Source organism: Homo sapiens, chromosome 8 (genome assembly GCF_000001405.40).
Source record: "Homo sapiens chromosome 8, GRCh38.p14 Primary Assembly".
NCBI classification, from domain to species: domain Eukaryota; kingdom Metazoa; phylum Chordata; class Mammalia; order Primates; family Hominidae; genus Homo; species Homo sapiens.
In genome coordinates, this window is record NC_000008.11 from 29,319,712 (window position 1) to 29,331,816 (window position 12,105).

Consider the following 12,105-nt stretch of genomic DNA (forward strand, 5'->3'; position numbering starts at 1 on the left):
TTGTGCAAGCTGACTCCCAGCACATTCAAGAATGCAATTAACTGATAAGATACTGTGGCAAGCTATATCCACAGTTCCCAGGAATTCGTCCGATTGATAACGCCCAAAGCCCCGGGTCTATCACCTTGTAATAGTCTTAAAGCCCCTGCACCTGGAACTGTTTACTTTCCTGTAACCACTTATCCTTTTAACTTTTTGCCTACTTTACTTCTGTAAAATTGTTTTAACTAGACCCCCCCCTCCCCTTTCTAAACCAAAGTATAAAAGAAAATCTAGCTCCTTCTTCGGGGCCAAGAGCACTTTGAGCGTTAGCCGTCTCTTGGCCGCTGGCTAAATAAACGGACTCTTAATTCGTCTCCAAGTGTGGCGTTTTCTCTAACTCGCTCAGGTACAACAATACATACACATTTGGGTGTTGGCCGCTATACTTACTCTTTTTTGTGTCTGTTTGCTAGGTGTCTGCAGATGGCTCTGTGCTGCCACCCGGCACATCTATGAACAGGGAAGAATGATAGAACCTTACCTTGCATTGGATGACCAGCACGCTCTAAGAATTGAAGAAGGGGGAGATGTGGCGGGGTGCACATCAACGTATTCAAGCTTACGTACATGGCATTTGAGGTCGGGGCATGGAAAAATACTGAGGCACTGTGTGTATGTTATTTTTGCATAAGAATGTAACTCCTTGACCCTGAAAACAGGACAAGGGGTGGAGTGTGTAATAAGGAACGCTGAAAACAGCCTCCTGAGAATGCGGTTTGAGTGTTTTACAACGCCGTAAGTGCCTAAAGTAACCGACCTCAAATGGCCATCTAGTGGATGTTTGTGGTTTAACAAGTCCTTTCAATACTTAGAGGACCGATGCTGGAGTAGCACTCTCTCAGAAGAGCTGTCACCCCGACCCCCACCCCGCTCAGCTGGAACTGTCTGAGAACTCATTCTTAGCGTTCACTGCAAGCTATAAGCTTTGCATTACTCCTAATATCATAGTGGGCATACACCATATGTGTATACACTGTAATATTACTCGTTATATCCTAGGCAGATATTATGAGTAATATCACAGTGGTTATATGTTCTGTGATATTACATGTAATGTCCTAGAAACATATGATGCCAAATATCACAGTGGCTGTACACCCTGTGATATTACTCCTAAAGTCCTAGGGAGATATTGCTGGTAATATCAAAGTGGGTGGACACCCTATAATATTACTTCTAATATCCTCGGGAGATATTACTCCTAATATCACAGTGGATGTACACACTGTGATATTACTCATAATATCCAAGATAGATATTACTCCTAATATCACAGTTGGTGTACACCCTGTGATATTACTCATAATATCCAAGATAGATATTACTCCTAATATCACAGTTGGTGTACACCCTGTGATATTACTCATAATATCCAAGATAGATATTATTCCTAATATCACAGTTGGTGTACACCCTGCGATATTACTCATAATATCCTAGGGAGATATTACTCGTAATATCGCAGTGGGCATACACCCGTTGATACTACATGTAATATCCTAGGAAGACATACTCCTAATATCACATTGGGTGTATACCCTGTAAAAGTACTCGTAATACCCTAGGGAGATATTTCTCCTAAATCAGAGTGAATGTACACAATGTGTATACACCCTGTAATATTACTTGGAATATCCTAGGGAGATATAACTCCTAATAACACAGTGGGTGTACACCATGTGTTTACACCCTGTGATATTACTCGTAATATCCTAGGGAAATATTACACCTAATATCACAGTGGATGTAGAACATGTGTGTACACCCTGTGATATTACTCATAATATCCTGGGAAGATATGTCTCCTAATATCAAAGTAGGTGTACACTGTATGATATTACTTGTAATATCCTGAGGAGATTTTACTTTTAATATCACAGTGGGTGTACACCATGTATGTATTAAATGTGATATTACTCATAATATCCTAGGAAGATATTATTCCTAATATCATAGTAAGTGTTCACCTGGTGATATTAATTGTAATATTCTAGGGAGATATTACTCCTAATATCACAGAGTGTGTACACCATGTTTGTACACCCTGTGATATTATGCATAATATCCTAGAGAGAGATTACTCCTAATATCACAGTGGGTGTAAACCCTATGATATTGCTTATAATATTCTAGAGAGATATTACTGTTTATATCACAGTGTGTGTACACGATGTGTGTACACACACCGTGATATTACTCATAATATCCTAAGGAGATACGACTCATCACGATGGGTGTACACCATGTGTGTAAACCCTGTGATATTACTCATAATACCCTAGGGAAATATTACTCCTAATATCTCAGTGGGTGTATGACATGTGTGTATTCCCTGTGATATTACATGTAATATCCTATAAAGACATTGTTCCTAATATCACAGTGGGTGTACACCATGTGCGTACACCTTGTAATATTACTTATAATATGTTAGCGAGATATTACTCCTAATATTACAGTGGGTGTATATCATGGGCTTACATCCTGTGATATTACTCATAATATCCTAGAGAGATATTACTCCTAATATCACAGTGTGTGTCCACAATGTGTGCACACCCCATGATAATACTCATAACATCCTAGGGAGATATTACCCCTAATATCACAGAGGGTGTACACACGTGGTACACATAATATCCTAAGGAGATATTACTCACAATATCACAGTGGGTGTACACCCTGTGATACTACTACTAGTAATATTCTAGGAAAATATTACTCCTAATATCATAGTGGGTGAACATGGTGTGATATTACCAGTAATATCATAGGGAGATATTACTTTTAATATCACAGTGGGTGTTCACCCTGTAATATTACTCATAATATCTTACGGATATATTACTCCTAATTTCACAGTTGGTGTACACCATGTGTGTATACCCTGTGATATGACTCATAATATACTAGACAGGTATTACTCCTATTATCATAATGGGTTTACACCATGTGTGTACACCCTGTGAAGCTACTCTTAATATACTTGGAAGATATTACTCCTAATATCACAGTGGGTGTACACCATGTGTGTACACTATGTAATATTACTCATAATATAGTAAGGAGATATTGCTCCTAATATCACAGTGGGCATCCACCATGTGTGTACACCCTGTGATATTACTCATAATACCCTAAGGAGATATTACTTCTAAAATCAGAGTGGGTGTACACCACATGTGTACACCCTGTGATATTACTCCCAACGTCCTATGCAGATAATACTCTTAATATCACAGTGGTTGCACACCCTGTGAAATTACTCATTATAACCAACAACACATTACTTCAAATACCACAGTGGGTGTACATTCTGTGATATTAGTCAATGTCCTAAAGAGATATTACTTATAATATTACAGTGGGTGTATAAAATGTGTGTACACCCTGTATTATTTCAAGTAATATTCTAAAAACATATTACTGCTAATATCATAGAGGGTGTACACCCTGTGATATTACTGATAAAATTCTAGGGAGATGTTACTTTTAATATCACAGTGGGTGTACACACATAATGTACACCCACTGTGATATTACTTGTAATACACTAGGGAGATATTACTCCTAATATCACAGTGGGTGTACAACATGTGTGTATTCCATGTGATATTACATGTACTATCCTAGGGAGATATTACTCCTAATATCACAGTGGGTGTACAACGTGTGTGTATTCCCTCTGATATTACACATAATATCCTCTGGAGATTTTGCTCCTAATAAAACAGTGGAAGTATACCCTGTGCATGCACCCTGTGAAATTTCTCGCAGTATCCTAGGGAGATGTTACTCCTAATATCACAGTGGGTGTACAACATGTGTGTATTCCCTCTGATATACATAATATCCTCTGGAGATTTTGCTTCTAATAAAACGGTGGGAGTACACCGTGTGCATGCACCCTGTGAAATTTCTCACAATATCCTAGGGAGATATTACTCCTAATATCACGGTAGGTGTACAACATGTGTATATTCCATGTGGCATTACATGTACTATCCTAGGGAGATGTTACTCCTAATATCACAGTGTGTGTACACCATGTAATGTTACTCGTAATGTATTAGGGAGCTATTTCTCCTAATATCACAGTGGATGTACACTATGTTTATGCACTCTGTGATATTACTTGTAATATCCTAGGAAGATATTTCTACCATAATCATAGTGGAGGTGCACCATGTGTGTATACCCTGTGATATTCCTCGTAATATCCTAGGGAGATATTACTCCTAATATCACAGTGGGTGTACACCATGTGTTTACACCCAGTGATCTTACTCTTAATATTACAGGGAGATAGTACCTGTAATACTAGGAATATATCACTCCTAATACCATAGTGGATGTTATATTACTCATAATATCCTAGGGAAATATTGCTCTTAATATGTCAGTAGATGTACATCCTGTGATATTACTAGTAACACACTAGGGAGATATTACTCTTAATATCACAGTGGGTGTACACCACGTGTATACAACCTGTGATGTTAGGAGTAATTTTCTAATGACATATTACGAGTAATATCATAGTGGGTGTGCACAAAGTGTGTAAACCCTATGATATTACTCGTAATATTTTATGAAGATATTGCTCCTAATATCACAGTGGGTGTGCACCCTGTGATATTACTTGTAATATTCTTAAGAAATATTACTGTTAGTATCACAGTGGGTGTACATCCTGTTTTATTACTTGTAACATCCTAGGGAGATATTACTCCTAATATCAAAGTGTATGTACACAGGGTGTTATTAATCATAATATTCTAGGTAGATATTACTTCTAATATCACAGTGGGTGTACACAATGTGTGTATAACCTGTAATATTACTTGTAATATTACAAGTATTACAGCTGTGTACACCCACTGTGATATTACTTGTAATATCATAGAGAGAGACTACTCTTAATATCCCAGTGGGTGTACACCATTTGTGTACTCCCTGTGATATTACACATAATATCCAAGGGAGTTATTACTCCTAATATCACTGTGGGTGTACACCAGTCATGTACACCCACAGTGATATTACTCATAATATAGTACGGAGATATTACACCTACTATCACAGTGGGTGTACGCATACATTTTAGGGAGATATGTCTCCTAATATCACAGTGTACACCATGTGTGTAAACCTTGTGATATTACTCATAATATCCTAGGGAGGTATTAATCCTAATATCAAAGTGAGTGTACACAATGTGTACTATGACATTATTCATAGTATCCTGAAGAGATACGACTTCTAATATCACAGTGAGTGTACACCCTGTGTGTACAAATTGTGAAATTATTAGTAGTATTTTGAAGAGATATTACTTCTAGTATCATGGTGGGTGTACACCTTAAGTGTACAACCTGTGATATTATTCATAGTGTCCTAGGGAGATATTATGAGTAATATCACAGTGGGTGTACACACTGTGATATTACTCATAGTATTCTAGGAAGATATTACTCCTAATATCACAGTGACAGTGGGTGTACACACTCTGATATTATTCATAATATCCTAAGTAGATAATAGTCCTAATATCACAGTGGGTGTACACCCTTTGATATTATTTGTAGTATCCTGGGGAGATATTACTCCTAATATCACAGTGGGTGTATGCCATTTTGTATTATTCATAGTATCCTGGGGAGATATTACTCCTGATATCACAGTGGGTGTACACCCCTGTGTTATTATTTGTAGTATCCTGGGGAGATATTACTTTTAATATCACAGTAGGTGTACACCTTGTAATATTTTTTGTGGTATCTTGGGGAGATTTTACTCCTAGTATCATGGGGGTGTACACCATGTTTGTACAACTTGTAATATGACTCACAATATCACAGGGAGATATTACTTTTAATATCACAGTGGGTGTACACCCTGTGATATTACTCATAATATCCTAGGGAGATGTTACTCCTAGTATCACAGTGTTTTTACATCATGTGTGTACTCCCTGTGATATTACTCATGATATCCTAGGGAGCTATTACTCCTAGTATCACTGTGGGTGTACATCCTGTAATATTACTCATAATATCCTAGGGAGATAATACTTTTAATATCAGAGTTGGTGTACACCTTGTGTGTGCACCCTGTAATATTACTTGTAATATCTTACAAAGATGTTACTCCTAATATCACAGTGAGTGTACAGCCTGTGATATTACTCATAATATTCCTAGAAAGATATTACTCCTCATATTACAGTGTGTGTACACCCTGTGATATTACTGGTAATATTCTAGGCAGATATTATGCCTAATATCACAGTGCATGTATATCAGGTGTACATTCTAGGGAAATATTACTCCTAATATCACAGAGTGTACACCCACTGTGATATTAAGAGTAATATCTCCCTAAGATATTATGAATAATATCACAAGGTGTACACACATGAGGAAAACCCACTGTGATATTAAAAGTACACACAGGGTGTGCACACCCACTGTGATATTTGCAGTAATATTGACAATATTATGAATAATATCACAGGGTGTACATTCACTGTGATATTAGCAGTAATATCAAAGATATTTTGGATAATATCACATAATAATGCCACTGTGATATTGCAGTAATATCGAAGATAGTAGTAATGTTAAAGATATTATGAATGATATCACGGGGTTTACACACATGTTGTATCCCCACTGTGATATTTGCAGTAATATCCTTGATAGATATAGTGAATAATATCAGAGTGTGTACCCCCAATATGATATTAGCAGTGATATTGAAGATATTATTAATAATATTACAGGGTGTACCCCACTGTTACTCCTGTATTACATGATATACACCCAGGGTGTATACCCACTGTGACATCAGCAGTAATATCATGGATATTATGAACAGTATCACAAAGTGTACACACGAGGTGTATTCCCACTGTGATATTAGCAGTAATATCATTGAAGATATTATTTTTAGTATCATAGGGTGTACACCTACTGTGACATTAGCAGTAATATCATCAAAGATATTATAAACAGCAATATCCCTCTAATATTTGTAATATGCAGTGTTCACACACTGTGATATTAATGAAAAATCTCTGATATTTATAATATCCAGTGTTAACAGTGTTTACACGGTAAGATATCAACAAAATATTGCTGTGATATTTATAATATTTAGTGTAAACACACTGGGATATTAATGAAATATTGCTGTGATATTTGTAATATCCAGTTTCCCCATACTTTTTACATACTGTGATAATAATGAAATATCGCTCTGATATTTATAATATCCAGTGTTTACAGACAGTGTTTACACAGTGATATTAATGAAATATCACCCTGATATTTATAATGTCTCGTGTTTACACACTGTGATATTAATTGAATATTGCTCTGATATTCATAATATCCAGTGTTTACACAGAATGTTTACGCACTGTGATATTAATGAAACATTGCTCTGATATTTGTAATATCCAGTGTTTACACACTGTTATATTAATGAATTATTGCTCTGATGTTTATAATATTCAGTGTTTACACACTGATTTTAATGAAATATTGCTCTGATATTTATAATATTCAATGTTTGCATGCAGTGTTTACACACTGTGACATTAATGAAATATCCCCGATATTTGTAATATCCAGTGTTTACACAGCATGTTTACACAGTGTGATATTAATATGTCGATCTAATATTTATCATATCCTTTGTTTACACAGTGTTTACACACTGATATTAAATATTGCTCTGACATGTATAATAGCCAGTGTTTACACACAGTTCTTACACAGTGTGATATTAATGAAATATCACTCTGACATTTATAATATCCAGTGTTTACACACTGTGATAGTAATGAATTATTGCTCTTATAATTATAATATCCACTGTTTACACACAGTGCTTACACAATGTGATATTAATAAAATATTGCTCTGATACTTACACTGTCCAGTATTTACATACTGTGATATTAATGAAATATTGCCCTATTTATGATATCCAGTGTTTACACACTGTGATATTAAATATCACTCTGATATTTACATTATCCAGTGTTTAAACACAGTCTTTACACAGTAATATTAATGACATATCACTTTGTTATTTATAATATCCAGTGTGTACACACTGTAATATTAATGAAATATTACCCTATTTACAATATCCAGTGTTTACACACTGAGATATTAATGAAATATAGCCCTGATATTTATAATATCAAGTGTGTACACACTGTGATATTAATGAAATATCACCCTGACATTTATAAAATGCAGTTTTTACACACTGTGATATTAATGAAATATCACCTTGATATTTGTAATATCCAGTGTTTACACACTGTGATATTAATGAAATATCACCCTGATATTTATAATATCCAGTGTTTACACACTGTAATACTAATAAAATATCGCTGTGATATTTGTAATATCCAGTGTTTACACATTGTGATTTTAATGAAATATGGATATTACTACTAATATCCAGTGTTAACACACTGTAATATTAAAGTGTGATTATTCACAGTATCACCAATATTACTACTGATGTCCAGTGTTAACACACTGTAATATTAAACAGTGTGATATTATTCACAATATCACCGATATTACTACCGATGTCCAGTGTTAACAAACTGTGATATTAAATACACTGTGATATTATTCACAATATCACTGATATTACTTCCGATGTCCAATGTTAACACACTGTGATATTAAACAAACTGTGATATTACTCACAATATCACCGCTATTACTACTGATGTCCAGTGGTAACACACTGTGATATTAAACAGTGATATTATTCACAATATCACCGATATTACTACTGATGTCCAGTGTTAACAAACTGTGATATTAAACACACTGTGATATTATTCACAATATCACCGATATTACTACTGATGTCCAGTGTTAACACACTGTGATATTAAACAAACTGTGATATTATTCACAATATCGCCAATATTACTATTGATGTCCAGTGTTAACACACTTTGATATTATTCATGTTATCACCGATATTACTACTAATATCCAGTATGTGTTATGTTAGCTGACAAATGTTTCTGGATTAGTGGTGAAACTTGCATTTTCAGGTTTTTTAGATAACTATCTGTTTATTGGAGTGGTGGTTTTTAAAAAATGGCTACACAAAGATTTTGACACTCTTCCCATCAAGTGGCAGGGTCTGTCTCCCCTCCCTTGGATCTGAGCAGGCTTGAAACCAATTAGTAGAGATGAAGTGATGTGCTGAGATTTCTGCAACTAGATCATAAAAGGCGGGTAGCTTCCATCCTGTTCACTGGAACACTCATGCTCTGATCTGTCATGTAAGAAGTCTGACTATTCCGGAACCACCATGATGGAGAGAGTACTTATAGGCACTCAAGTCAACAGTCACAATTGAACTCCCTGCTGATGACCGACATCAACAGTCATTTGTAAGCGAGCCATTGTAGATGGCCAGCCCAACCAAACCTTCAAGTAAGGATAGCCCCAGCAAACATCCATCTGCAACCACGCAAGAGACCCTCAAGTAAGAAATGCCCACAGAGCCTTTCTCGGGCTCCTAATTAACAAATGTGTGAGCAAAACAAATGGTTGTTAGTTTACAAAACTAAGTTCTTGGGTAAATTGTTATACAGAGATAGTAATCGAAAGCATTATGGTTTGTGGGCTGTTATGCTAGGAGGGGACTGAATGAAACGGAATGGAAGAGGAGAAACCTGTGTCAGACATTCCTAAATTGGCTTGTAAATCAGAATCTTGTGGGAATTTGTAGAGTCTTTAAGTCTTAGGTGGGCCCAGGAATGTTTATTTTAAGAATAATCTCCTGTAGAAATGCTAAACTACTTGTGTCACAATAGTAGTAAATGGACAATTCAAAAGGACATAAATTTTTTCTCCCTCCACCATGGGATTCCCTTCTGTTATTTTTTTTCAAAGTTTTCCTGAATATTTATTTCTCCAGTGAATTCAAGATCACTTTGCCATGTTCCTCCCAAAATCTTGTCGCTCTTTTGATTGCGATCCCATTAACTGTATAGGTTAATTTATGAAGAAATCATACGATTCAATACTGGTGTTCTTATCCTAGAATACAGTTCAGATGCTCCTTGATTTATGATGGGATTACATCCCGATAAATCCATTGTAAATTGAAAATATCGTTAAGTTAAAATGCACTTAATACACCTAAGGTACCGAACATCATAGTTTAGTTCTGCCCACCTTAAATGTGCTCAGAAGACATATTAGCCTGCAATTGGCTAAATCATCCAACAGAGCCGATTTTATAACAAAGTGTTGAATATCTCATGTAATTTAAAGGGTACTATACTGAAATTGAAAGTCAGGATGCCTGTATGGGTAGTGCGGTGTGAACCCAAAATAACTGAGACAGGTCTCAGTCAATTCAGAAAGTTTATTTTGCCAAGGTTAAGAATGTGTCTGTGACACAGCCTCAGGAGGTCCTGATGGTGGTTCTATACATTGTAGGGAGACATGAGACATCAACAAATATATGTAAGGTGTACATTGGTTCGATCTGGAAAGGTGGGATGACCCAAAGTGGGGATGGGGGCATCCAGGTCATAGGTAGATGAGAGACAAACGTTGCATTCTTTTGAGTTTCTGATAAGCCTTCCACTGAAAACACAATTTACAGGAATAGTCACTTAGGCCTTAGTCTCTTAGTGAAACAATATGGCAAAGGAAGCAATCAGATAAGCATTTGTCTCATGGTGAGCAAAGAGAGGACTTTGAGTTCTGTCTGTTCTTTGTTCACAAGGAATTTCCTTGTGGCCTAGTGATATTTGGGGTCCCAAGATTTATTAGTGAGTTCCATTTGGCTTAGTGGTTTGGGGGTCCTGAGATTTATTTTCCTTTTTCAATAGTTTCTACTGAATGCATATGACTTCTCCACCACCGTAAAGTCAAACCCTGGTAAATTGGGGACCATCTGTATGTTCCGCTTTCTCCAAGTGTCTCTACATGTCCCTTGGCAGGGCTATACCATGTCCATCATATACATCCTACCTATTTCTGTTAAGGTCTATCATAGGTGTGTTAAGCAATGATTGCAAATGGGATTTTCTACCACTTCTAGTTAATTTTTAATTGATATTTCCTATAGGAAAGCTGTTTTTTATGTTTACTTTGTAATCAACCACTTACTGAATTACCTTATCTCTGATGGTTTCTCAGTTGATTCTCTTTTGTTTAATACACATCATCTGAAAATCATTTGACCTCCCACTTTCCAAATTGTATACTTCATTTCTCTCCCTTGCTAATTACATTGGCCAGTGCTTCCACAATACTGTTAAATTGTCAGATACGGTGGGAATGCATGTTTACTAATGCCTTTCATTTCCAGTTTGGCAACTCATACCAATGAAATCTGATACAAGCAACCCACAATCAGCACCAGGGGTACCACTGACATATGACACCACCTTTATCAGCTTACTTCTTCAACCTGGCCTTGATACATAGCCCTCATTTTCATGATCCCAGTGGAATAAGAGGTCAGTAAAATTTCTTCAGATTCTCTGAGACAGGCTGGACCTCCTCCCCAATGGGGAGGGGTGTTCCAGGAGTGGTCATTCCTTTTGCATTCTTCTATTACAACGAAGTACAGGATATAATGATGGCTCCTCAGTGGGAGAGGTCAATCTTTTTTTTTTTTTTTTTTTTTTTTTTGAGACACAGTCTCGCTCTGTCACCCAGGTTGGAGTGCAGTGGCATGATCTCGGCTCACTGCAAGCTCCACCTCCCGAGTTCACGCCATTCTCCTGCCTCGGCCTCCCGAGTAGCTGGGACTACAGGTGCCTGCCACCACGCCTGGCTAATTTTTTGTATTTTTTTTTTTTTAGTAGAGATGGGGTTTCACCGTGTACCATGTTGGCCAGGATGGTCTCAATCTCCTGACCTCGTGATCTGCCCGCCTCGGCCTCCCAAAGTGTTGGGATTACAGGTGTGAGCCACTGCGCCCGGCCAGGAGAGGTCAGTCTTAAAGGCCTAAGTGATGACACACAGCAGAGGCTAAGAGGAAGTG

The 12,105-nt window shown here is 36.7% G+C and overlaps 1 long non-coding RNA gene across 2 annotated transcripts in view; it reads right to left on the reverse strand.

Annotated features, from left to right (window-relative positions):
- LOC124901922 (uncharacterized) overlaps nt 1-609 on the reverse strand; it is a 32,348-nt gene extending 31,739 nt beyond the window's left edge. For both annotated transcript variants that reach the window (XR_007060874.1, XR_007060873.1), the window contains exon 1: nt 524-609. This is a non-coding gene — a long non-coding RNA (uncharacterized LOC124901922). The remainder of the gene's footprint in view (nt 1-523) is intronic.
- Nucleotides 610-12,105: the final 11,496 nt, after the last annotated feature.